This window comes from Homo sapiens, chromosome 13 (assembly GCF_000001405.40).
Source record: "Homo sapiens chromosome 13, GRCh38.p14 Primary Assembly".
Taxonomy (NCBI): Eukaryota; Metazoa; Chordata; class Mammalia; order Primates; family Hominidae; genus Homo; species Homo sapiens.
Window position 1 is genome coordinate 111183958 of NC_000013.11, and position 26351 is coordinate 111210308.

Sequence of the window (26351 nt, forward strand, 5' to 3'; positions counted from 1 at the left end):
TTTTAACCCTCTCTGTGTGGTTGGGGTAGGATGGTGTTATGGTGTGACTCTGTCCCCACCCAAATCTCACCTTGAATTATAATAATCCCCACCTGTCAAGGGCGGGACCAGGTGGAGATAATTGAATCACGGGTTGGTTTCCCCGCCGTTCTCATGATCGTGAATTAGTTCTCACGAGATCTGATGGTTTTATAAGGGGCTTCCCCTGCTTTGCCTGGCACTCATTCTCTCTCGTTGTCCTGTGAAGAGGTGCCTTTTGCCGTGATTGTAAGTTCCCTGAGGCCTCCCCAGCTATGTGTAACTGTGAGCCAGTTAAACCTCTTTTCTTTATAAATTACCCAGCCTTGGGTATTTCTTCATAGCAGCGTGAGAACGGACTAATACAGATGGTTATTGTTGAAGTTTTTTGACCTACTAGGCTGCCCTGTCCTGGTCCTTTGGCTAGAGAGGATAGGTCTTTCTTGAGGCTTTTCTTCTGTACCTGTTGGTGTTTCTGGGTTGCTGGCTTGTTTAGCACTCAGTTTGGAGCATTTGAGGCAAAAAGAAAACCCAGAGAACCCGCTGGCATGGTTCCCAGCCCTGAAACCCTTAGCCGGTCTGCCTCCTCTCTCACATTCTGAGGCTGACGTTTGTTTTATAGGCAGCATCCAGGGCTTTTAGCTGCATTCAGCTGGAGGGAGGGGGAGATGTGTCTTCTCCATCTTTTTGGGAGTCATAGGTCAGTTCTCTTTGTGCTATGCTGTTATTTCCTATCAGGTGTGGCCTTGATGGGTTCTTCCTGTTTGTGAATAAAAGCCCAGTTGACTGGCATCAGAGCGGAGGGGACTGTGCAGTCCTGTGTGTGGGTTACCGGCCCCGTGGGCTTCACTGTGCGGGTTGTGTGTCTGGGAGCAGGTGGGGAGAACCGGATGGAGGGCTCTAGAAGCAGCTACACGAGCAGAGCTGAGGGAGACACTTTCTCTGCACCTGTTTCCTGTGTCACACTTCAGATGGGGGATAGTCCAGGCTGGTGGTGGAGCTCCCAGGGGATTTCGCTTCTGGGTAGAATTGTCATTTTTTTTTTTCCTCAGAGACTGTTGTGTGGGCCTAGTGGTGCATCAGGTTCCGGTTAGAATCCAGTGCAGGCCGCAGGCTTCTCTTTAATTAGAGAGGGTCACTTCACCTCCGGTTAGAATCCAGTGCAGGCAGCAGCTTCTTTTTAATTAGAGAGGGGTCTGGGTGCTGAGCTTCCCATCAGGAAGAAGGGGCTGTCGTGCTGAAGTCCTGAGGTGGGTCACGTGTCCCTTCCTGTGTTAGAAAACCGTCTTTGGTGCTCCTGGGGCTCCCTTACAAGTGCTGTTCTGAACTGTTAGGTCATTCAGAGTCCATCTGCGTCCTGTCCCCAGGGATCTCCTCAAACCCTGTTTAGACTGCTCATAGCCTTTCCCTTTTTAGCACTACAGCGGGTTCTTTCTCTGTTAATTTTTTGAAGCTTTTTCTTTCTCTCATTTCGGTGGCACCTTGGGAGGGATGGGAGTTAGATAGGTGTTTGCAGTGGGCCATCTTGAGAAACTTCTCAAAACTGGAGTCTTGTAACTGCTTGCATTTTGAAGTTAATGGAATGGGCGCATTGCCTTTATAGCTGTAAATGTTACTGCTTCACTTACTGTTAGCCCAAGCCAGTGTGTTGCATCTGCCCAGATCCTTCTTTGTGGTATGTGCTCACTTTCTGGCGACAGCCAGGCTGTTCTTTGCAGGCATGTGCTCCTAGCAGTCGAAGACAGAAGTTTGGGGGCCTGTGTAGGCTGTATGGGCTGCTGTGTGTGTGTACGTGGTGAGTTGTGTCTGAGACCACCCCTCCTCCCCTGGGTGCTGCCTGATCTGCCTGCATGACCGCTGTGGGACACCACTGTCTCTGGTGTCCTTTCCTGGCTGGCAGTGTGGTGGTGTGGGCAAAGCCAGGCTGGTGGGCTCCGATCTTGGTTCTGCCTTTGTAAGCTTTGTCACACTGTCTTTTGGGAGCTCGTGTGTGTGTGTGTGTGTGTGTGTGTGTGTGTGTGTGTGTGTGTTTTCGTTTTCTGCCTGTAAGATAAACTGGCATGCAGTCTACACTGAGGTACGGGCTGTGTGGGCCAGCACAGCATGCCGTGGTCCTAAGCAGGGAGGTGTCCTTCCTTTCCCCTGCCTGTTGGGGCTGCGCTTCCCTGCCTCGTGTGGAGGTTGCGCCCGGTCTGCAGAAGGCAGAGAGCATCTTGTTGGGAAGAGCCCTGCCTGCCTTCCCGTTGCTGTGCTCCTGCCTCCCTGCTCTGCTCCTCTCACCCCTTCCTGGAAACTACCTAAAATACTTGGTTACTTCTTTTTTGAAGATGTATTCTCTGTCCTAGTGTTTGGGTGTTGATACAGTGGAATCCACAAAATTGAATAAGATTTGATTTTCATTTTAAAGTGAAATAAATCATTTGGGTGCATGTTGGGTGAAAGTGCCGTAATTGATAGCATCCGTCATCAGACTTTAATTTTACCCCTGGGGTGTAGGAGTGGGTGGGATTAAGTACAAAATCTGCAGAAGCCAGGAAGTGAAAACGTACTGCTGGATTTCTGTTTTTCACATGTCCCCAACAATATGGACCATTTGCATTAAACTTAAATAGCACCACTTATTTAAGATTCATTTTTTACTCTTGTTCTGAAATCACAAGTTCCATTTGACAGTGATAGGACAAAATTATATTTTTAAACTTTGCAAACCACACTCCAGAGCTGTGCTAAAAATAACAATTTCTTGTGTCAAGAATAACTTTCTCAAGTTCCTGGAGGAGGCGAGCTGACTGGTGGCAACGCAGACCACTAAAGCTTCAGTGAGCCCAGAAAGTGTGCGCTCAGTCCCACATTGCAGAGGCCTCTCCGTCAGTATTGAGATGGTGGAAAGTGAGGAGAAGCAAAAAGACGACTACTTCTTTCCCCATTTCCCGGTCTGGTCTTTTTGGGGTCTACTACGTAGAGGTGCATCAGCCAGCGCTACCATGGAGGCAGGAGGCATTCTTTTGCTCTCGTGTCAGTACTGACGGGGTTGATTAAGGTTGCTGTGCTTGTTGGTGTGGGTATTGGGAGGGTGGTGTGAAAGCAGTTGGGCTGGAATAGAGCTGGTCAGTGTGTCCTTTTGCGTGCATTTGTGTGGCCCTAGTGCTACAGTGGTGTCCCTTAGCTCTGGGGGACTGTCTGAATTTTTGTGCTCTAAATTATTAATACATGTTTATGTGTGGGTTTGCCAGAATGCTGTGTCCGTTATTGTTGGCTCCTTGGACAGCTCTCCTTGTTCTGCTTCACTGGCTGTGAAATTGGTTCACGTGGTGGGCTCTGGGTCCAGCGAGATGCATCTGAGGTGTTGACCTGGTGGTGTGGGCCTGGGGCTGCCAGTGGTCCTGTTGCCTGATGAGGGAGACCGTTCCTGAAACTGTGGCGCACACTCAGGAGAGTAGGAAAGAGAGCGGAGAAAGCCTTCCGGTTCTGAGCTTGTGGCTCTTGCCATTCCTGACTTGTTTGTTGTGCGAACCAATAATTTCCTTTTTTTGTTTAAGCCAATTTGAGTTGGGTTTACTTGCTTGTAGTGGAAAGGTTCTGACACAGGATCTTTATTATATGAAGTATTTTCATAATGTACATTGTGTTATATATTAGACATATCACACGATCTATTTTGTGATGTAGTTTGCTTTGCTGTTTTTATTCTGTGGAAGATATTCCTGAATTTCTACACTTCCTATGAATTTGGAAGTGGGGTGAGGCAAAGTCACTAATATCGGGGTATCAGTAGGGGAGCCTTTCGAATCCCAAACATTGGAGTGTCCTTCTGTGACCCGTTTCTTTGTCAACTTTTGTCCGCTAGGCAGAGTGGCTGTGACATCTGACATCCAGTGTGAAGGTGTGGTCACTCAGCTGGAAGAGAAAAACCTAGCACTCTGAGAGTGGGTGGATCTGCTGGTGATTTTCAAGCAATGTCTTCCCGTTTTTGGATGCTCATCCCTTCTGTAGTTGGAGCCTTGTTCTCTTTTCCTTGAGTACAGGTGGGGCTGATGACTCATTTCTTATGAACCGAGCACAGCCTGCCTGACTGCTGAGGCTAGCTCATAGGATTCCTGAAGCTGCAGGCCCTGCTTTCCTTCCTGCGTGTGCCCTGGGATCACTCGCTCTGTGGAGTCCGTTGTCCGTTCTCTGAGGACTCAGGAACTGAGGCCTCCTGCTCACAGCCACGCTGTGGAGCTGTCTTGGTAGCACCTCCTCAGTCCCTGCAAGGCCTTAGGCTGCCAGAATCCCACAGCTTCAGCTGACATCTCAACGACCTCCCCTGAGACCCAGAGCCACATTCACCCAGCTAAGCTGCCCTGAACGCTGACACGCAGAAACTGAGATAACAGATGCTTGTTGTTTGGGCCACTGAGTTTTAGAGTGAGTTGCCTGTAGAAATGGATGAGCAGCATCTGTGCCTGGAGGTGAAGGGTGGAGCCAAGTGCATGTCTGTCAGAGTCCACTGCTATCCATCCTTTCCCTGCCTGCCTTCCTCCTACACGGTGCTGGATCCCCCAGAGGATCAGCAGCCGAGAGGCTTCTGCGAAAGAATGTGCTCCTTCAGGGCCGACTTGCATTTGTGTCTTTTTTTCTTGGAGATTTCTGTAAAACAGCAGCCGTTAGCAGTTATGTGATTACTGTGTTTAGAATTTGAGAAGAAAGGGAAAACCTTGTTTGCCATGGAATACATACTGTGTTGATAAGTCTTCCTTATTTTGAATAATGGAGAATTCTCTGTGTCTTAGCCAGCTAAGAGCTACTTACTTTTATCATGTTGTGTTAAAATGATAAAAGTTACTCTTCGGTGACCTAACTGCTTCACTTAATGAGTTTTGATTTTGTTTTTGCAGGATGCATTTCCTCTCCTTCAGGAATAAGTTCTGTTGGGGAAATTATGAAATATGGACATGTTACCACCTCCTGCTAGATGATGGCGTATTAATAAACAGTTCCTACATTTCAGTGTTTTGCACCCCCAAAGGTTTATTATGTCAGTTATGTGTTAGCTGCAGATAAGGTGTTGCTCTGCTCCAAGTGTCTTTCTTCAGCATCCAGGCTGATAGAACAGCTCCATTTTGAGCCTTGCCATTCTCATTTAAGGAAAAAGGATAGGAGGTTGGCTGGAACACCTGAAGGCTTCCAAGGCTTCTGCTTAGAACCAGGGTGCTTTCTTTCAGCTTGGAGCTGGTGTCTGCCTCTTCTGTCATATTTTGTCCGGAATTGGTTCCTTCTGGTGGGTTCTTGGTCTCGCTGACTTCAAGAATGAAGCCGCAGACCCTCGCGGCGAGTGTTACAGTTATTAAAGATGGTGTGTCTGGAGTTTGTTCCTTCAGATGTTCAGATGTGTCAGAGTTTCTTCTTTCCGGTGGGTTTGTGGTCTTGCTGACTTCAGGAGTGAAGCCGCAGACCTTCGCAGTGAGTGTTACAGCTCTTAAAGGTGGCGCATCCGGAGTTGATTCTTCCTCAGAGTAGGTTCGTGGTCTTGCTGACTTTAGGAATGAAGCTGCAGACCCTCGTGGTGAGTGTTAACAGCTTATAAAGGTAGTGAGGACCCAAAGAATGAGCAGCAGCAAGATTTATTGTGAAGAGCGAAAGAACAAAGCTTCCACAGCGTGGAAGGGGACCCAAGTGGGTTGCCGCTGCTGGCTCGGGTGGCCAGCTTTTATTCCCTTATTTGGCCTCGGCCACATCCTGCTGATTGGTCCATTTTACAGAGTGCCGATTGGTGCGTTTTTACAGAGTGCTGATTGGTGCATTTACAAACCTTTGGCTGGACACAGAGCACTGATTGATGCATTTTTACAGAGTGCTGATTGGTGTGTTTACAGACTTTTAGCTAGACACAGAGTGCTTATTGGTGTGTTTACAATCCTTTAGCTAGACAGAAAAGTTCTCCAAGTCCCCACCCGACCCAGAAGCCCAGCTGGCTTCACCTCTCAATCCGCCCTCTAAATAGGAGACTCCAACTGCTGTTGGGAATTGGGCAGTGACCGCTCTAGCTACTTCCTGCTGGATAGGGATGAAGAAGGGGCCCTGAAGTTGTAGTGTCCTCCAGAGGAGAACTATTTAGGCTAGTGAAAGGGCCAGTGGGTTTGTCCAGGGGCCCTTGGTAGAAGTTGTTAGTTGAGCTCATTTGGGGTTCCATTTGTAAGACCATCTGTAGCTTGATAGCCTTGATTCTAGAGGAAACACATTTGAGGAGGTTAAAAATACAGGGCCCGAAGGCGAGTAATAGCAAGATGGCTGCCACGGGACCTAGAAAGGGGAGAAGCCATGTTGCCCAACTCCAGAGGTTCGTATAAGAGTTTGAAAGGCATTGTCTGACTTCAGAAGCCTTTTCCCGTAAACACCGGGCAGCATCTCGTACTATCCCTGACTGGTTAGTGTAAAAACAACACTCTTCCCCTAAGAAGGTGCAGAGTCCTCCTTTCTCAGCAGTGAGGAGGTCTAGGCCTCGGTGGTTTTGGAGAGTCACTGCTGCCAAAGAGTCTATTTGGGATTGTAGAGTAAGGATAGATTTCGTTATTTCTTGCAAACTGAGAAATCCTTTGAGAGTGTGTGGTAGTAGGATAATGAAGTAGATAAACTGGCTACTCCGGTTCCTGTAGCAGTAGCCATTCTTAACCCTATAAGTAGGGGTATTAGTTGTATGGCTCTGCGATGACAGACTTGAGCTTTGAGGGGTACTGATAAAGTCTGATTTCCTGAGGCAATGTTAATGTTGGGACTTAGAAAGACTAAGGTGCAGGTGCCTGTCCAGTTGGTGGGGAGGCAGATATAGGTCGATGTTCCACATAAGAAGAATACATCTTGGCTGGGTAGACAGAACTGGTTGTGTATGTTAAAAAGGTGTGTGAGTTTGTTGTTTTCATTTTCCCATACTCCTAGAGTACTTGCCAAGGTAGCTCTGGTGAGTGGCTGGAAAGGGGTGTTGGGAGCAAACTGAGTGGCTCCCTGTGTTCTGTTTTCCCATTGGAGAAAAAACTGTTTTGTATCTACTAGGAACCATTCATTAGAGAGAGTGATTGAAAGAGGGGATGAGAAAGCATTCACTAGTGGTGGGGGCGCTGCTGCAGGGGGTCCAGGGGTGAATGGTCATGCAGGGAGTATGTTTGCCATTACAAAACCTGGACTGTTTAGGGAGGAGGTGATGATTTTGGGGGGCCCTGAGAAGTGGACAAGCCGTCCGCATGGAGCTGTTTGGGTGACTTGGAAGTTACTATGATCAGTTGGGGCTTGAAGTTGTGAGGTGTAATTACACTGATGGGGTGGTAGGTGCCCCAGGGGCAGGCCTGATAACAGGTTGCATTGGATGCATAAAGGGACATGGAAAGTTAAGATGGTATTCATAGTAACAGGGCCGTGTATGCGCTTTTCATTGCTTGTGTAATAGATGAGGTTGGAAATGTAAGAACGTAAAAGTTGGATTGCACGTCCTGTTAGGGTATTCTTGGTCTTATCAGAGATGGGGAAGTTGGCTAATGATTGCATATTTAGAAGTTGGAAAGGGTCTTTTCCTTCATAATGAGGGTGATAGGTTAAGTTGGTAGAGACCCAGGTTTTTGCAGGAATGGGAGTGGCTACGTAAGCAGAGATTGATAGATACAAAGCCAACAGTCATTTGTGAGGGAAGGATTGGACTGGTTTAACAGAGAGTGGGTTGAGAGTCTTGTAGAGGTATTTAGGAGCTAGTGGAAGGGGAGGGGTGATTGTATGAGGTATCCAAGGAAGCAGGAGGGATAGATAGTCAAAGAGTAAATAGGAAGGTAAAGAGGGTGCTCTGGAAGACGAGATCATTTTATCCAGGCTGAGTTAAAGGTAGGAGTAAATTGCTGTCAGAAGGAAGGAAGATAGAAAGAAGGTTGATAAGATTAGGATTTTCGTCCTAGCAGGAGCTGTAGTATATAGCCCTATCACAAAGAGTATGGTTAGTATGCTGCTTAATCATATGATGAAATAGTAAAAGGATTCCATTAAAGGGTTAAGGAGAGGTGTTAAAGATTATGTAGGTTTTCACTTATCTTTTTTAAGGAGGAAGGGGTTTTTCTTCAGGATCAGTGGTAGGAGCCTTTTTAGTCTGGGATATTTCCTTCCAAAACAGGAGATGCAAGTCCTCCAGTGGTTCGCAGGTGTATCAAGGCTGGTCTGGCTGATCTTGGGACTCCTGAGCTGATGGTCCTGCAGGTTTCTCAGCGGGTGTCCAAAATTTAACTCGGGTGTGGTGAATCCAAGATTCCACTCCTGCCACCTTAACTGCAGTGGGGGTAGAGAGGATTACCGAGTGTGGTCCTTCCTACAAAGAGCCCATGGATGGGGAGGTAGAGGGGAGAGATTTGACCAACACTAGATCTCCTGGTTGAAACAACTCTGTTCCCTTTTCTCTGTGACATCCTTCAGGTAGGATTTTAAGGTTTTGTTGATATTTTGCCAAAGAAGTTATATCTTTGACGAAGTTGGCCGTTTCCTGATGAAGTAGGACGTCATTTGTGAGAAAAGGTCGTCCATACAGCATTTCATATGGACTGAGCCCCATTTTGTGAGGAGAATTTTGGATTCTCAACAAGGCCATGGGCAAAAGAGTAGGCTATGGGAGATGAGTTTCTTGTGTTAGTTTCCTTTAGTGCCTCTTGAGTGTTTTGTTTGCCTTCTCGACCTTCCCTGAGGATTGTGGCCTCCAGGCGCAGTGAAGGTGATATTGTATCCCTAGCGCCCTGGAAGGGTACCGAGTTACCACGGCTTTAAAAGCTGGACCATTGTCGCTCTGTAAGCTTTGGAGAAGCCCAAATCTAGGAATTATTTCATGAATTAGGACTTTAATCACTTCCTGAGCCTTCTCTGTCTTGCGAGGGAAAGCCTTTATCCAATTTGTAGAGGTATCAACACACACCAATAATTATTGAAATCCCTTCGACTTAGGCATATGGGTGAAGTCTAAATGCCAGTCCTCTCCGGGCTAGTGACCTATTCTTTGTTCCCTTAGAGGGGACTTATGATGGACCAAGGGATTATTCCTTTGGCACACCTCACAGACTTTGACTACCTGTCAGATGGTCCGGAGGAGATTTGGCCCTGTAAATAGGGATTTGGCCATTTGATGAGTGTTTTCAATACCCATATGAAAAGTTTGTTGGAGGGTTTTAAGTATTTTCCACTGGATGGCTTTGGGTATAAGTACCTTTCCTCCTTCTGTCATTAACCACCCCGAGGGGAGACAACTATGCCCCCGTGAAAGTCCCCATTCTGTTTCAGTTGGGGAATACTGGGGCTTAATCTCTTGGAGGGGGTTGTTCCATACCAAGGGTCCTTCCGTAGGTATTTCTAATGGGAGGTTCCTCCTGGCAGCAATTTTGGCCTCAGCATCTGCCCTGCGGTTTCCTTCTGCCTTTTCTCCTTCACTTCCTTCTGCCTTTTCTCCTTACACTTTGGCAGTGTAAGACTGCCACCTCCTTGGGTTTTTGCACTGCGTGCAATGACTCCATAATTTCCTTGTGGTATTTAATGGGGGTTCCCTCAGAGGTTAGGAACTCCCTTTCTTTCCATATTGCAGCATGGGCATGTAGGATTAGATAAGCGTACTTGCTATCTGTATACACATTTATTCTTTTTCCCTTTCCCAATTCCAAGTCTCGGTTAAGTGCCACTAGTTCTTCTAACTGGGCACTGGTCCCTGGGGGAAGAGGCTTACTTTCAAGTGTCGTTACATCACTAACTATGGCATAACCTGCCCTTTGTATTCCATTGTCCACCAATGAACTTCCATTGGTATACAGGTTAAGGTCAGGATTAGTTAAGGGGACTTCCAAGAGATCATCTCGGGCAGCATAAGTCTGGACTATAATTTGTTGGCAGTCATGCTCGATTGGTTCGCCATCCTCTGGGAGAAAAGTGGCAGGGTTGAGGGCCACGCATGTACATATTTGAAGCACTGGTCCCTCAAGGAGTAGTGCCTGGTATCTGAGTAGGCGGTTGTCTGATAGCCATAAACTTCCTTTGGCACCTAGTATGCCATTTACATCATGAGTAGTCCAGACAGTGAGATCCTTTCCTTGTGTTATTTTGATAGCCTCTGACGCTAAGACGGCCACCGCCGCAACTACCCTTAAACAGTGAGGCCAGCCTTTTGCTACTACATCGATTTCCTTAGTTAGGTATGCCACCGGTTGTGGGGTTGTCCCACGAGTCTGAGTAAGGACTCCAAGAGCTATTCCTGCTCTCTCTCTGATATATAAAGAGAAGTTTTGTCCTGTGGGAAGGCTTAAATCTGGAGCTTGTACTAGGTTCTGCTTTTTAAGGTTTTGAAGGCTGTTTCTGTCCCTGGTTCCCATTCTACTAGATGAATATTTGCCCTCTGGGTCTCCTTGATTAGAGTATGGAGGGGCCTGGCTATCTCGCTGTATCCGGCAGTCCATAGTTGGCAAAACCCAGTGATTCCAAGGAACCCCTGCAACTGTTTTAATGTCTTAGGGTGAGGATAAGCCAGTATAGGCCGTACTCATTCCTTTCTGAGGGCCCTGGTCCGTCTGGCTAAGATTAGGCCTAGATATTTGACCTGCTATAGGCAAAGCTGGGCCTTCAACCTAGATGCCTTGTTCCCTTGATCAGCTAGAAAGTTCAGGAGATCTAGAGTAGCCCACTGACATGAGGCTTCTGAACTGGTAGCCCAAAGTAAATCATCCACATGCTGAAGGACCAGAGTGCCTGGACTTGAGAAGTGGCCTAGATCTTGGGCCAATGCCTGACCAAACAGGTGAGGGCTATCCCTAAACCCTTGGGCCAAGACTGTCCATGTAAGTTGGGATGTGTGGTCTGTGGGATCCTCAAAGGCAAAGAGAAACTGTGAGTCAGTGCAGGGGAATACAGAAGGCGGCATCCTTGAGGTCCAGAATAGTGAATCATTCTGCTTCCTCTGGTATTTGAGAGAGCAGGGTATAGGGGTTGGGTACAACTGGATATAGAGGAATTACTGCCTCATTGATGAGTCTAAGGTCTTGCACTAGTCTCCACTGACGATTGGGTTTTTGTACCCCTAGAATTGGGGTGTTGCAGGGACTGCTGCATTTCCTTACTAAGCCTTGAGCTTTCAAATGTTTAACAATATCCTGTAATACTTTATGAGCTTCAGGCCTTAAGGGATATTGCCTCTGATAAGGAAAAGTGGTGGGATCTTTTAGCCTGATTTGGACTGGGTGGGCATTTTTTGCCCTTCCAGATTGTCTTTCCAATGCCCAGACTTCAGGGTTGATTCCCTCCTCAAGTAGGGGACAACAAATGGGTAACTTGTTCCCCATATTCGTGTAGATAATAGCTCCAGCTTTGGCTAATATATCCCTCCCTAATAAGGGTGTGGGACTTTCAGGCATAACAAGAAAGGCAAGTGAAAAGAGCAAAGTCTTCCAATTACAACTGAGGAGGTGGGAGAAATACCTGGTTACAGGCTGCCCCAGGATTCCTCGGATGGTAACAGACCTTGAGGATAGTCGTCCAGGACTGGAGATTAACACTGAGAAGGCCTCGCCAGTGTCCAAGAGGAAGTCAATTTCCTGGCCCTCAATGGTTAAATGTACACGGGGCTCAGTGAGGGTGATGACAAGAGCTGGCGCTTGCTCTGGGCACCGTCAGTCCTGTTGTTGGATCATCTGGTTGGGGGCTTCTGGCCCAGAGAACCATTGCACTCTGGGGCAGTGCGCCTTCCAGTGATTGCCTCGGCATAGCGGACATGGATGAGGGGGTGGCTTCTCGTTGGACAGTCTTTTTTAAAGTGTCCTTGTAAACCACACTGATAACAAGCCCTACTGGGTGATTGGCCTTTTCCATTTTCTGTCTTCTCTGAACCACCAAGGTTTGTCTGTCTGAGGGCCATGACTAAGGCTGCTGCCTTTCTCTGATCTCGCTTTTCCTTTTGGGCCTATTCCTCTTGGTCCCTATTATAGAACACTGAGGTTGCCAGGTTTAGTAATGCCTCCAGATTTTGTTCAGGGCCCAGGGCTTGCTTTTGGAGCTTTCTCCTGATATCTGCGGCTGATTGGGTAATAAACTTATCTTTTAGGATCAATTGACCCTCTAGGGAGTCGGGTGACAGGGTAGAGTATTTTCTTAAGGCCTCCTGTAGCCAGTCGAGGAAGGCAGAAGGATTTTCTTCCTTTCCCTGAGTTATGCTAGACATCATTGAATAATTAATGGGCTTTTTCCTAACTCTCCTTAGTCCTTCTAGAACACAGGTCAACAGATGTTTATGACTCCAGTCCCCATGATCTGAGTTGAGTCCCAGTGGGGATCCATACTGGGGACGACTTGCTGACCGGTAGGGAATTTGTCCCTTTCTTCGGCTGTCATTCTGTCATTTACTTGACTAAGATACCAGGTATCACCAAACTCTCGGGCTGCAGCTAAAGCTGCATTCTTTTCATTAAAGACTAGGGTTTGATCTAACAATAGCATGACATCTCTCCAAGTGAGATCGAAGGTTTGCCCTAGACCCTGTAGGAAATCTATCAGGATCATCTGAAAACTTCCCCAGGTCTGCCTGGATCTGCTTTAAATCAGAGAGGGAGAAGGGGACATGTACCCAGCTTGGGCCAAATTCCTCTCCCCCTACAGCTTGAAGGGGACATAACCGATAGCCCGGGGGTTTTTGTGGTCCCTTGGAGATTTCTTTGCTTATTTCCTTCTGGGCAGGGGAGATTAGAGGAGGCTTATCATTAATAGGAAGGGGAGCTATAGGGAGGCTAGGATATGGGGGTAAGCTGAGAGGTCCTCCTGTGGGACATAAATTGCAAGCTTTGCATATTCTCCTTCAATGAAAAGAAAGCTGGACATAAGGTATTTCAATCCATTTGCCTTCCCTCTTACAGAAAAGGTCAAGCTGCAGGATAGTATTGTAATTTATACTTCCCTCAGGTGGCCATTTTTACCCATCAGAGAGAGAATACTGGGGCCAAGCCATAGTGCAGAAAAAAATAAGCTGCCTCTTTTTCAGGGTTTCTGGGTCAAATTGGTCCGAATGGCTTAGGATGCATTTCAAGGGTGAGCATGTTGATGCCTGAGTGTTTCCCATCTGAAAGACAAAACCACCTGCAGTTTTGGTTTGTTTTTCTCCCCCTGCCCAAGAACCTATAATGGTCCCTGGACCCTGCTGATCGGAATAGTTGCGCTCACCGACGCAGCAGCAGAAACACCTCTTGCCCAAGAACCCTGGACCCTGCTGATGGGAATAGTTGTGCTCGCCGACGCAGCAGCAGAAACACCTCTTGCCCAAGAACCCTGGACCCTGCTGATCGGAACAGTTGCGCTCACTGACACAGCAGCAGAAACACTAGTTTCCCTCCTAGACCACAAGGAGGACTGAGGAAGGTTGGATTTAGTGGCCCTTACCGACGCATTCTCGTAAAACCTGCACCTTGCCTGTCCTCCTAGACCACAAAGAGGACTGAGAAAAATCAGATTTAATGACCCTTACTGACGCATTCTTGAAAACCTGTTAAGAGTCCTAAGCGTTCTCCTGTTAGTATTGGGACTTTACTTGTGTCCTATAAAGATGTTATGCCCCCAAAATGAAGTGGAGGGCCATACCCTGAGGGAGAGAAGGGATCTCCAGGGTTGGAAGAGTGATGCCTTTTGTCCTCACTTATATGAATAGGAAGGATACAATTTCTGAGGCTCCCCATATCCTAGCTTCAGGAATAGCTTTTGTTAGGCCTGCTTGTCTGAGTAGGGGTGCTAAAATTCCAGATAGTACCCCCTATGACAGGGCTTTGGGCAAAAATTATGTCTTTCTGATTGGCGGGCCCGGGTGCCTAAAGAAGGGAACAGAGTCCTGAAACTAGAAAAGAACTAGAGACAGGGAGTGGTTTTTAGAAGCAGGACTAGCCTCAGAGAAGAGAGGTGAGAGGACGTTTGTCTGACAGGCATTAGGACCCAGGAGGCAAGGGTCAGGATGGATAGGATAGATGGGCGAGTCTCACTTGGGCGACATAACTTTGAGAGTTCCGCTCATGGCCACAGGGTCAACCAGCTTGTTGTTGGGACCCCGGAGTTGAATGGCTTTCCTCTCTGTTGACCGTTGGCTCAGCCTGGAAGTACAGGAGAAGTGGAAGCTGGTACCAGGCAAACCACCGCTCCCAACTCTGAAGAGTCGGGGGTTGTTAGCCCTTTCCCAGAAAGCCTGACACGCGTGTCTTTAGTCCGGTGGCTGTGCTAGTTGCTTTTAACTGGCCGACAGGTGCCTGGTATTTAGCCCCCGAATTCTACGGAAAAATAGGACAGAATAGCAAGCAAAAGGGGTCCGATGATACTCACTGCTTGGCGATAGTCCCATCTGGGTCGCCAAAATGTGTCCAGAATTGGTTCCTTCTGGTGGGTTCTTGGTCTCGCTGACTTCAAGAATGAAGCCGTGGACACTCGCGGTGAGTGTTACAGTTCTTAAAGATGGTGTGTCCGGAGTTTGTTCCTTCAGATGTGTCCATTCCTTCAGATGTGTCCAGAGTTTCTTCCTTCCGGTGGGTTTGTGGTCTCGCTGACTTCAGGAGTGAAGCTACAGACCTTCGCAGTGGGTGTTACAGCTCTTAAAGGTGGTGTGTCCGGAGTTTTTTGTTCCTCCTGGTGGGTTCGTGGTCTTGCTGACTTCAGGAACGAAGCTGCAGACCCTTGCGGTGAGTGTTACAGCTCATAAAGGTAGTGTGGACCCAAAGAGTGAGCAGCAGCAAGATTTATTGTGAAGAGCAAAAGAACAAAGCTTCCACAGTGTGGAAGGGGACCTGAGTGGGTTGCTGCTGCTGGCTTGGGTGGCCAGCTTTTATTCCCTTATTTGGCCCTGCCCACGTCCTGCTGATTGGTCCATTTTTACAGAGTGCTGATTGGTGCATTTACAAACCTTTAGCTAGACACAGAGCTCTGATTGGTGCATTTTTACAGAGTGCTGATTGGTGTGTTTACAAACCTTTAGCTGGACACGGAGTGCTGATTGGTTCGTTTTTACAGAGTGCTGATAGGTGCGTTTACAAACCTTTAGCTAGACACATAGTGCTGATGGGTGTGTTTACAATCCTTTAGCTAGACAGAAAAGTTCTGCAGGTCCCCACCCGACCCAGAAGCCCAGCTGGCTTCACCTCTCAATATCTCATTGGTCAGAGAAAGTCATGTGGCCAGGCCTGCCCCTGCCTGTAGGAAGCTGATGGGCATCACTGGGCTGGATGTAGACTCCTCCTCGAAGGGCAGGGGGAGTGAATGAAAGCAGCCATACTGTCTGCTGCAGTGAGCCTGGGTTAGAGAGGCAGAGGAAGTTGGAACATAGTGTACTGAATGTGAAAATTTAAGTTTGGGTCAATATCAGCTCTTAGAACTTTTGTCTGCTGAAGCCTTTTTATTTTAGAATAATACTCTTTTTGATTGAAGCTGTCCTGGAAACCACTGTGGATATTTCTGCTAGTAGTCGTCCTCTGGTCAGAGGTTTTCATATTTGGGAGCACAGGTGACTATAAGCTCCCTGATGTTGCCTGTGCATACTTGTAAGGTTACCCTAAGGGCCTTAGCCTGCCAGATGCTTGCTGGTGACCAGCCGAGCCCCATCTTCCTCATGTCCAAATGAGTCCTCCTTTTGTCAGGTGTTAGTTCAGGAGGTAAACTTAATAATAAATGTGGCTGCTTTGGTGTAACCATAAAATGAGGAATATGCTAAAATAGAATTCCTTTGGAGGCATGGCAAAAATTAAGGCTGGAAGTTGAGTCTGGGCCAGATTGTAGAGCCTTTGATGACTGGTTCCAGCATCTTTGGCTTCAGTTTCTTCTGTGGGGTTAGGAGTTGGAGTGCTGGGTGCCCAGGAACAATCAGCCTGGGCCTAGAGACTGGACAGCAGTGGGGAACGGGCACCAGACAGTGACCTCCTGATATGCCTGTTACAGATGGTGGCCTTAGGTCCACATTTGCATGGGCTCACCCCTCTTCCTTTTTTCTGCTCCAAAGTCTGTGCCTCCATTGGGAGCACATACAGTTGTCACCCACTCTGTGAAGCCCTTTCTGACTCATGTTACGGGTACTTGCTTTCTGCCGCCGTGGACTACTCGGTGACTCCTCCTCCTCTTCCTCAACACCTAGGGCGACTTTTCCCTACCATCTTTCTGTGTCTGTGGACATCACCTCTCTCGGCCCCTAGATGGGAGGGGTCCTTACCAGCCTTGGGCTGCGGCCTCTCTGGGGAGAGCCCAGTGCCCTCCCTGCTGCATCCTTCATTTTCCTCCCGGTCATCTCCAAGCCGAGCCTCCTTTCTCTGGAACCAAGTGTGGGAGATGCAGTTGTGGTACAAAGGAATGAATGCCCACTTGCCTTAACTCATTTTTTTTTCTCTTATTGTCCTGTAGCCAGCTGCTGAATTCCTCACCACTCACCTTCACCTTTCTCTCGTTTTCTGTTCAGCCAGCTCTCTTGACCCTGGTGCTTCCTTGCTCGAAATCATGTCTTTTTTTTTTTTTGACAATACACTGTGTCAGAGGAATCCTTGAGTTTTACAACTGGAAGTGACTTTAGAGGTTAGCTGATTCAGCTTCTCTCCCTTCCCAGGTGAGGAACGGGACACCCACAGCTGTGTGGAGACTTATCCACCCTGCAGGTGCCAGCTAAATCCTTCAAAATGACCTTTCCAAAATTAACGCCATGTTCTGACATAGCCAAAACTGTAATGTCTGTCATACATGACAAGGTTAGTATTGATGTCTCAACACCATCTGATACGTAGTCTGTATTTACATTTCCCCAGGTGTTCCCAAGTACACTTTGTAGATGGTTTATCCAAAACGGTCCAGTGCAGGGCCCCTTCTGGCATCTGGAATCTCTTGATCCAGAGCAGTCTTGTTTTCCATGGCCCAGAATTGTGGACAGACTTAATGTCTGGCTTTTGTAGGTGCCCAGAAGCTGCTTGTTCAGTGAAGACATGGTAAAGACAATGGGGATGAGATACTGAAGACATTTTTTTCTTCTTTGGCTCGGGGGGGATTTCCCTCAGTCTTAAATATTAATGAAGTTCGGCCTTCAATTAAAAAACCATGCCCTTGGTCGTCCTCCATGCCATTGTCTTCTGAACCTAGGACTTGATCCCCAGGCTTGTTGGCTCCTTCCAGTCTCTCCCCAGTGTTTGTCCAAATCCCCATCGTCCCCCTTGTTCCTGTGGCTGAGGTTCTCCGACCTACGATTGCAGAAATCTTCCTCAGATAGTTTCTCTGCGTCTCACTATTTTCTTCTATGGTTTGTATAGTTTAGCACCTTCTAGCCATTCTATTTTATGCCCAAATCGCTTTATATATGGCCTGTGTATTTCACAGAGGGCAAGATAATTTTCCTAAACAGTGCCAGCTACAATTCAGCTTCCTAAGAAGCAATTTCTGGAAAGCACTGCAAGAGAAACGAGGTCCAGTAAACATACTCTATGAGAATAGAGTTGAGAAAGTCATTGTACTTTGGGGCTTCATTTTATCTCTAAATGAGAGGGCTGACCTGTAAGTCATGTAGATGATTCTTCTCTCTGTTCAGTGGGCTTTTTCTTGTGGTTATTTTGCATTTTTAAAAGTAAGAGTTTTCCTTGGCAGAATGGAGTTATCTGTAGGTCTGTTTTGATAAGTGAGATTTGGTGTGCCCTTTTCTTTTTGAAAGTGTGGGGCATTCCAGTTGCTGCTTCCTGTCCTCAAGCATGTTCCCCTTTCCCTGGTGAGGATGAGAAGTCTGAGGTCTAAGGGGCCCAATGCAGGGCTGTAGCAAGCAGGTGGTCAGGGAGGCTCTGCTCCGTAGTCTCAGCCCTCTTCCTTCTTCCAGCACCGCCGTGTCCTTCCCACAACGTGCCGCATTGTGTTGTGCGGTTCAGTGTTAGACCATGGGAACTCCCCTCCCCGCCACTTTTAAGAAGGTATTTTTCTATCCTTGTTTGAATACTCTGGGCTTCTTTTATCCCTGATTTGGTATTGTATTTGATTATGTAGTTTCTATTGAGAGCAAAATACCAAAAATAAGCTAAGGAATTTTAATGTTAGTTTTCTGGTGGAAAACTGGTAGGATGATTTCATTTTGGGAGTATCGGATCATTCTATTGCACATTTAATTCACTTAAATGTAAAAGTAAGGGTGAGTGTTTGAAATACGCTTTTTCAAATGGATAGATCCTAAAGCGTATTATGGTGCGAAGTGTGTCTGTGCAGCCACCCTTGTCCCCAGCATGGTGCCTGTGTGGGGTAGTGCAGGTGGCAGGAAGTGTGCCTGTGCTGGCATTGAGGCTTCAGCTGGGCAGGATTCCTAATGACCTTCCTTACCTCACCAGGAGCGCTTCTCACGCTTGGCTGTGTGTTGGAGTCACTTGGAGAGGGTTGGCATTTTGATTTGAGTCTCTGGACTCCAGAACACTGCTGGAGTATCCTGCCCTTTTACAGCCCCCCAGGAGGTCTTAACATGTAGCTCCTGCTGAGAATTGCTGCTCCTGAGGCTGAGGCTTCCAAAAGGAGGCCTGGAGACAATGGAATATGGTTTGTACTTCCTTCCCTCCTGCTGCTCCTTGCCATTGCCAAGAGTGGAAATACTGCTAAAGCACCCAGCAAGTCATGGTGGGGAATGAATGAATCCCGTCTAAGACACTTGTTTTAATAACCCTAGGGAACAATTTAGTGTGCTAAATGTCATGGTAATTCTTACATACACACTGATTTACTTTTTGCAGAGAGATTTCTATAAAAGTTTTGAGACTTCCCTATTATTCCCATAGTACAAAATTTCTCTGTACTCAGATTTTTCTGTTTCTGTTTTTTGTTGAATAGATTTCTATTTTAGGAAATAGTCTGTTATCTTTCTCTAGAGAAGCACTTCAATCGAAACATTTTGTTGGCTGAGAATGTGCATTTTCCCCCTCTCAGGGGTAAGGATTTGCCTCATCTCATTGTCTAGCTTCCTGTTGAGAAGTGTGGTGTGTGTATTCACTTAAACTCTGATGTCATATTGAAGCCCATTGGTGGGCAGTTTCAGCCAATCAGATGCTTCCTGGGTATCCAAGTAAGAAAGATATATAGTTCTGGAATAACAGGAAACTTCACATTTTTCACATCCTGTTATTCTGGGTTTTGTGACTTGCTGCCTTGCCACTATGAAGGTTAGTAGAAATTTATGTATGTATTTCTTTTTGTAGTATACAAAATTGACAAAATAAAAAATGACTTGAATTTTCAGAGCACTAAGATTAGATCTGTAGAGCTGAAAGACATTCAGATCTCCTATTTAAAAATGTTATGATGAAGAGAAATTTTATGTTTTGCATATAAGGAAGCTGAGGCCTATTTAATTCCTTTTAAAAAATGCAGCTTAACCCGTATTTGTTATAGGTGGTTATGTCAGCCTAGATGCTGCTCTCATTTGAGTTGGGATTTCTTCTTAAATAATAAATATTACAACAAATGTATTCTGTATGAAAGATGATTCTAAAGACTATCTGTTCTAAGGACTGTTTTTTAAAGGAAGGATTTAGCTTCATGAAATCAGTTATATTTTGTGCCTTTTGTTAGAAATGGCATCGGTAAGCACATAGAATGCTTAGATGTGTTCACAGCTTTCCTTTTACGTTTTGTGGTTCCATCTGATATTTCCTTGTGAACTTTAAGAAAGTGACCTCTGGTTTTCAGCTCCTTTCTTGACTCTTTTAGTGATTTGGTGGGTTTTTCTCTTGAGGTAGTTTTTCAAAGTCTGGTTCTTCTTTATTTATGTTTAAACATCTCATGACTATTTTTACTTATTTGGAAAATTATAGACAGAAGGCCTTTAGCTGCAGATGAATTTTGAATAATACAGCAGGACTTTTTCACATTTGGTGTCACTTTTCTTAGCTTCTCTTGGCGTGAGCTTCATTACAGCAGCATGCGGTGCCTGCAGGGTGGGTGGCTGGTTGGATGCTGGTGCACGTCTCCATTCGGATGCCTTTTCACTGTGCACCGGCCCCTGTGCTGGGTGTTGGGAGATGTACAATCTGCCACTGCAGATTTTTAGTCTAGGGAGGCCTGTAGACATCCACCATCAAACTATCATGACACGTGTTCTGGGGGAGCCTGGCTGGGGACCTGACCGGGTGTGGTGGGGGCAGCCAGGCTGTCAAGGCAGGGCTGTGTCAGGAAGCAAGATGAATAAGGATTAGCCAGGAAAGGGAAGGGACCGAAGGCAGGAAGAGGAAGAAGTGGGGCTTCTGGCAGGGTCTGCTAGAGGTGTGGGGAGAGGGCAGGACTGACAGGAGGAGACGACAGCCCTGGAGAGAAGGTGGGGCCCTTGTCCACTGATGCTTATTTCCGGTAATCTCAGTTAGAACATATGGCAACAGGATACACGTTTTGGTTTTTAAATGTATCTTTCTGTTATTGGCACCTCTGAAAGAATTTTTTTCTTAATTTTTCTGGAACATAGTTGTGGACGATTTGACTGTTTATCTTTGCTTGAGGTTATTTGGTGATCAGAAGCCATATGTAGTCTTTGGGCAGTATCTGAGATGAGAGCTCTGTTTGTTTTGACATGGCTGTGTGTGTGCACACGCGTTCTAGACACTAGTTGCCACATACCTAGGCAAACCAATGTGCTTTACCTTTCCAAGCTCCAGGATGGTGGTGGGAAGTGCCTGCCAGTGGCAATGTGACCAGCTCCATCGTGGTCCCAGGGCTCTAGATAGCCCTGGACTGGAGGGGATGCGGTTGTGGGCTTGCCTGGTTCTGGCCTCAGAGCTCTGAGGGTGGTGGTCTCTTGTCCCTGCCCCTTTCCTATCTGGGATCTGCTTCTCCTGTCTGTCCTCCTTTTACCCTCACATCCACTCTGCTCTCTGATGTCCGCATTTTCTTTTGCTGCTGTTAGCTTTGGAATCGACTGTCATTTTCCCTTATTTTCTGTGGCTAGGAAAGAACATCTGTAGCACGCCTTGCCTGGGGCCTCTGTGTTAATCTAAGGAGAGGAGGATTGCGCAAGCACCGTGCTTGCTTGCTGAATGCCAGCAGCCCACCCCCCCACCCCGCCCCGCCCCCGTGAATGAGCTCACACTCCAGAGGGGCAGGGGCGGGTGTTGGGTAGGGAATTGGCCTAATGCCGAGGGGGGACCCTGCACCTAAGTAGGAGAATTTTGATTGGGTTCTTACCTCAGGACTGAGAGACTGAGCGTGCTGGTCTCCCTGTCGCAGGTTGTGCGGTCTCCTTAGGATTTCAGGCTGAGCATCGTCGCGTTGCTGGGAGAACTTAGTTCATCCTGCACCCAACATAAGACTCTACTAATTTTGCTTGTTTAATTTTTCCTTTCAGACGTTTGATGCAAATGATTTGTATCAGGGGCAGAATTTTAACAAGGTCCTCAGTTCCTTAGTGACTCTAAATAAAGTAACAGCAGGTAAGACTCTTTTTTATTGAACTCGAGGGGGTGGGAAGACATACGGGCTGACACCTTTGGTTTTCTTGTTTTACCAAAGCCAGGGGAGCATTACTGAATTTAAAAAATAAGCTTTTGTTGCATTACGTTTTGATTGTTCCTTTTGCTGTGATATTTTATTTGCCTTGTTAGAATAGAATCTTCTTTAAATGTTCTGGTATATATCAGGTGTTTTCCTTTCTGTGGGTGGAGAGATTTCTCACCTGAACGTATAGCAGGAGAAAAGTGTCTAGTTCTTATGGGAAGGCTCATGGGCTGTGTTGGAGCTAGAAGCACCTTTCTCTCAGTTTTTACTGAGTGTATGCTGGTTAAAATTTGTATCTAGTGGGCAGAAGTTTTGAGCTGTGACCATGATAAGGGAGTGGCTCGTGGATTGGCCTGTAAAGTCCACACTACCTGTCCAGGGCTCCTGAGGGCTGTGGCACCCAGGTACATGGTGTGTGTGGTCCTAGCCCCCATTAGTACTGAAGTGGAGAGGAGGTTTTGGGGACATGGTGTGCCCCTCTCATGGGCCACAGCGAAGACAGGAGTTGTTCAGACAGGTCCTCTGAGGGAAGGTGCATGTTGTCCATGATGCCAAGGTCCCCGGAGGAAATGCTCCATGAGCCCTGAGGAGCTCTTTCTTGGATTTCTGTGTGGCTCAAAAGGAAGGAACTTTTTAGTTGCTTTTTTGGTCTTATTAGAGTAATTTTTTTTTCCTATTTACCTTCACGGATGTTAAATATCAGGTTTGTGGGGGAAAGTGCCGTGTCCTTTTCAAACAGAAACCTCCTGAGTTGATTTTGTCGGGGTCGCTTCTCAGCTTCGTCTGGCCCTTCAGAGGGGGGGGTGTACTTGCCTCACTGCACATTGAGGAGAGACGGGGGTTATGCATGCTTTGGGGCTGCAGTTCCTGGCTCCCGGAGGCTTCATCGGTGGTGCAGGGACTGTCCTTGGTGCTGCCTCCCAGCGCATGTGTGCTCTGACTGCTGTCTGGAAGCTGATGCTGCTGCTGCTGATGCTGATGCCCCGGCGAGAGGCACTGGCCCCCATCCCTGGGAGCAGGGGCAGACCCCAGGCAGAGGTGTGGCTGTGGCTGCGTGTTCACAGCTTGACTTCTGAGGTTTAAAGGACTGTTCAGATGAAAGCATCGAGGAAACAAAAATTTAAATGGCAGGATTATGAAGATGGATGTAACTAATGAAAATTGTCACATTATTTAATGCCTTCTCTGTCTCTACAATCTAAAAATGATCCTTTTAATATGAACAAACAATAAGAAAATCACAGCCGGGTGTGGTGGCTCATGCCTGTAATCCCAGCACTTTGGGAGGCCGAGGCGGGCGGATCACGAGGTCAGGAGATCGAGACCATCCTGGCTAACACGGTGAAACCCCGTCTCAACTAAAAATACAAAAAAATTAGCCAGGCGTGGTGGCGGGCACCTGTAGTCCCAGCTACTCGGGAGGCTGAGGCAGGAGAATGGCGTGAACCCGGGAGGCGGAGCTTGCAGTGAGCCGAGATCGCGCCACTGCACTCCAGCCTGGGCGACAGAGCGAGACTCCATCTAAAAAAAAAAAAAAAGAAAAAGAAAAAAAAAGAAAATCACTTATCTAAAGTTATGGATGACATTGAAAAGGACATACATTTAGAGTGGATCACTGGAATTTAATACAAGAAATACTGCAACAGGTGATGTACAGAAGTGGCATATTCATGTGTCCTGACCACATGGGGGAATCTGCCTGCAAACTCATATTCATCCATGCCTCAGAGTTTTGAATTATTTTTTATGGAGGCAGGGTCTTGCTCTGTCGTCCACGCTGGAACACAGTGGTGTGATCTCAGCTCACTGAAGCCTCAGCCTCCTGGGCTCAGGCAGTCCTCCCACCTCGGCCTCCTCAGCAGCTGGGTCTGCAGGTGTGTGCCTCTGTGCCTGGCTAATTTTTGCATATTTGTAGAGATGGGGTTTCGCTGTGCTGCCCAGGCTTGTCTTAAACTCCTGAGCTCAAGCTATCTGCCTGCCTTGGCCTCCCGAAGTGCTGAGATTACAGGCTTATGCCACCATGCCTGTCCTAAATGATGTGCCTTATAATTAACGTAGATCTCTGTGGCAGATGGGGCAATAGCACAGATATGTAAAATCTACAAGTAATCCTTAATTTGACTCTGCTCCCATTGAATACTTTTTTAGAGGTTGCTCACAGGAGCAGAAGATAGTAACTTTGAATTTCATTGTAGATGTTTTCTCTGCTTTTGCTGTAAGTGGGGGTGCTAATTAGGACGAAGTGGCTTTAGAACATGGCTTTAATTTGTACACTCAGTCTTGGGATTGTCAACCATCTAGGTTTGAGACGGTAGGATTTACAAGTAAATAAGAGAAGTCAGAATCCAGTAGCTCTCAGGCTATTAGTTTTTACCTCTACCTTATGGAAATGTATTTTGTATATGTTCTTGGTATCATTGGCTATGTGTTGGATGTAAAATAGATAGCTTTGTTCTTTACAAAGACAAATTTGGAAGTTACCACATAAACTTGGTACTTTTAAGCTTTTAAACTATAGGAATGACCCCTCCTAGATGGAAGGAATGCTTTGCTTTTCTGTTTGCCCTTTGTTTTTGTTTTTGAAGTCAGTGGGAAGGCAATACCCGTACGTTTTCTTTTTGAGACAGAGTTTCGTTCTTGTTGCCCAGGCTGGAGTGCAATGGCATGATCTTGGCTCACCGCAACCTCCGCCTCCTGGATTCAAGCGATTCTCCTGCCTCGGCCTCCCGAGTAGCTGGGATTACAGACACGTGGCACCACACCCGGCTAATTTTGTATTTTTAGTAGAGGCGGGGTTTCTCCATGTTGGTCAGGCTGGTCTGGAACTCCCAGCCTCAGGTGATCCACCAGCCTCTGCCTCCCTAAGTGTTAGGATTACAGGCATGAGCCACTGCGCCTGGCCTCGTTTCTTTCTAGATTTCAGCTTTCCTTGATTGGCAAACAGTAAGACAACTGCAGCAGCCACAGTTACTGTGGACATTCTTGGGAAAATTGTCATTGTCTTTCTGCTTCTGTCTCTTAAAATCATATGTGTTCTCAAGGCATTTAGTTGACTGTAACTGGCCTTTTAATTGGATAGAAGAAAGCTTGGTGATGGGGAAGTACAGAATGTCTTCAGGATGGCCCTCCTTGTATGAGAATTTCCTGGAAGGCTGTGGCCAGCAGAGCACTGCAGACCATGGCCGGGAGCCCTGTAGAATTTGCTGGAAATGCCCTTTTAGCTGGTTTTGTGCTGCGGGTTGCCTGAGACCCCTGTGTTCTCAAGCAGAATGTGCTCTATAGAGATTACTCGTAACCTGCCCTCAGCAGGTCCTGGGAAGTGTAGGGTGAGGGGGTGACCTGAGAAGAATTTAAGATCGTTGGAGTAGCAAGCCCCCATCTGTGGGGTCAGGCAGGTGGCGTGAAGGGAGGAGCTGGATGGAAGGGCATGGGTGCTGGGTCCTCTCAGGACAGCCCCTGCCCAGCTCTGAGCCAGCTTTACCTGATGGGATATAGACCTGGTGTGGCCACATCCTAAATGTGTCAAGAGCAGTGGGGAATCTGGGTTTTTGGTGATACCTTCAGACTTTTCGATGTTGACCGTTTAATTCAGAATTTTATAAGATACGTGCAAGCCAATCCAAACACCTGGGAGGAAGCTGGGACCTGGAGACTTAGGGTTGCTTTCATGGAAGCCTCCCTGGAGTTTAGGACATGGCCGGGCACGTGCCTCTCAGAACAGCGATTTTCCCAGCAAAGTTTTTCACAGCCTCATTCTCTCTTTTTTTTAATTGAGTCACTTTTAAGAATAAATTGCTATTATTTATTTGTTGGATGGCCTGTGTGGAGTGTCTTATGAAGGGAGATCCAGAGAACAGAACTAAGCCTCTTACTGTCTGTTTACTTTGATTCTGTCAGCAACTTCATGAGGTGAGTAGAGCCTGTGCTGCCTTAGTGTTGGGGAAATAATCCTCACAAGGTTCTCTCTGGCTGAAAAATACACTGGATTTTCTCTTTTAAATAAGAGTCTTTTCCTTCTGTTGCTTATTGCATGACACATCGTCCTGGAAAAGTGGGCATGTGGTGGTGATGCTTTGGAGAATCAGTACTTGGTTGTTCTCCGCTCCATAATCAAATTTGAGAGGCTTTTTTTTCCAGGTGAAGGGAAAATCTTTAAAAGTTATAATACATTTCACAAACTTTTGAAAATTATATTAGAGAAGAACTGATTAATAGTTATCTCCAGATAATTTCTGGAAAGGTAGTTGGGGAATGAATGCAAGTCATTTATGTAGCAAATAATTTGTTCTTTGTTTTCTGCATAAATGGGCTGCTTTGTTGTGGTCTTTTGGTGTGTCCCTCTGTGCTGCCCTAGTTTTAAAGTCTAGTGTGTAGTGTGGGTGCGTGGTATCAGGCGCTCTCAGCTCTCTTTTTCTGTGTGCATGCTCTTTGCAGACATCGGGCTGGGGAGTGACTCCGTGTGTGCCCGGCCCTCGTCTCACCGCATAAAGTCTTTTGACTCCCTTGGATCACAGTCTTTGCACACTCGGACTTCAAAACTGTTCCAGGGCCAGTATCGGAGTTTGGTAAGTTTGAGAGATTTTGTTACTTAAATATGTTTGGGAAGGATATGAGTGTGTATGGATATATCTGAGAAGATACGTATGCCTCCATTAATGGTGTTAAACAGGGCAAAGGTAGCTGGACTTCGCCTCCGTTGTGCCTGTAATCTGGTTTGGCATTTGCTCATTACCAGATGATCCAGATATTATGCTTAATGATTGCTTTTGAGAAACTCATTTGTTTTTAGGTTGTATTGCAAGACTCATGACTCGATATCTGGAGTGATGCTGCTTTAAAAAAACACACCCCTTGTCATTTGCATGGCATTA

General features: G+C 46.8%; 1 protein-coding gene across 56 annotated transcripts in view, besides 7 other annotated features; it reads left to right on the plus strand.

Annotated features, from left to right (window-relative positions):
* The window catches only part of ARHGEF7 (Rho guanine nucleotide exchange factor 7), a 191116-nt gene that overhangs the window by 69339 nt on the left and 95426 nt on the right, over window positions 1-26351 (plus strand). For 27 of the 56 annotated variants that reach the window (XR_007063704.1, XM_047430722.1, XM_006719956.4 and 24 more), the window contains 2 exons: window positions 21332-21416; window positions 25915-26045. The exons of 13 other annotated variants lie outside the window; for them this stretch is intronic. Coding sequence is in view for 15 of the 43 variants with exons in the window: in XM_047430722.1 (XP_047286678.1) it covers window positions 21332-21416; window positions 25915-26045 (216 nt within the window). In the remaining 28 variants the exon portion in view is untranslated. Of the gene's footprint in view, window positions 1-219; window positions 1269-2836; window positions 3034-5503; window positions 16737-19102; window positions 19161-21331; window positions 21417-25377; window positions 25390-25914; window positions 26046-26351 lie in introns of those variants that run through there. 16 more of the 56 variants (XM_047430735.1, XM_047430744.1, NM_001354050.2 and 13 more) reach the window with 8 other exon arrangements.
* Window positions 183-322: an enhancer, noted in NCBI's record as "active region_8026". NCBI's record gives its function as "activates an Ori minimal core promoter by ATAC-STARR-seq in GM12878 lymphoblastoid cells {active_cell/tissue: GM12878}" and the evidence as "EXISTENCE:reporter gene assay evidence [ECO:0000049][PMID:35858748]".
* Window positions 783-912: an enhancer, noted in NCBI's record as "active region_8027". NCBI's record gives its function as "activates an Ori minimal core promoter by ATAC-STARR-seq in GM12878 lymphoblastoid cells {active_cell/tissue: GM12878}" and the evidence as "EXISTENCE:reporter gene assay evidence [ECO:0000049][PMID:35858748]".
* Window positions 1013-1272: an enhancer, noted in NCBI's record as "active region_8028". NCBI's record gives its function as "activates an Ori minimal core promoter by ATAC-STARR-seq in GM12878 lymphoblastoid cells {active_cell/tissue: GM12878}" and the evidence as "EXISTENCE:reporter gene assay evidence [ECO:0000049][PMID:35858748]".
* Window positions 14069-14274: a silencer, noted in NCBI's record as "fragment chr13:111850373-111850578 (GRCh37/hg19 assembly coordinates)". NCBI's record gives its function as "represses an EF-1alpha promoter that drives an FKBP-Casp9 reporter gene in an ReSE screen in K562 erythroleukemia cells {active_cell/tissue: K562}" and the evidence as "EXISTENCE:reporter gene assay evidence [ECO:0000049][PMID:32094911]".
* Window positions 18739-18788: an enhancer, noted in NCBI's record as "active region_8029". NCBI's record gives its function as "activates an Ori minimal core promoter by ATAC-STARR-seq in GM12878 lymphoblastoid cells {active_cell/tissue: GM12878}" and the evidence as "EXISTENCE:reporter gene assay evidence [ECO:0000049][PMID:35858748]".
* Window positions 21907-22408: an enhancer, noted in NCBI's record as "H3K4me1 hESC enhancer chr13:111858211-111858712 (GRCh37/hg19 assembly coordinates)". NCBI's record gives its function as "activates a minimal SCP1, AML or CMV promoter by ChIP-STARR-seq in naive H9 embryonic stem cells {active_cell/tissue: H9 hESC(naive)}" and the evidence as "EXISTENCE:reporter gene assay evidence [ECO:0000049][PMID:30033119]".
* Window positions 22409-22908: an enhancer, noted in NCBI's record as "H3K4me1 hESC enhancer chr13:111858713-111859212 (GRCh37/hg19 assembly coordinates)". NCBI's record gives its function as "activates a minimal SCP1, AML or CMV promoter by ChIP-STARR-seq in naive H9 embryonic stem cells {active_cell/tissue: H9 hESC(naive)}" and the evidence as "EXISTENCE:reporter gene assay evidence [ECO:0000049][PMID:30033119]".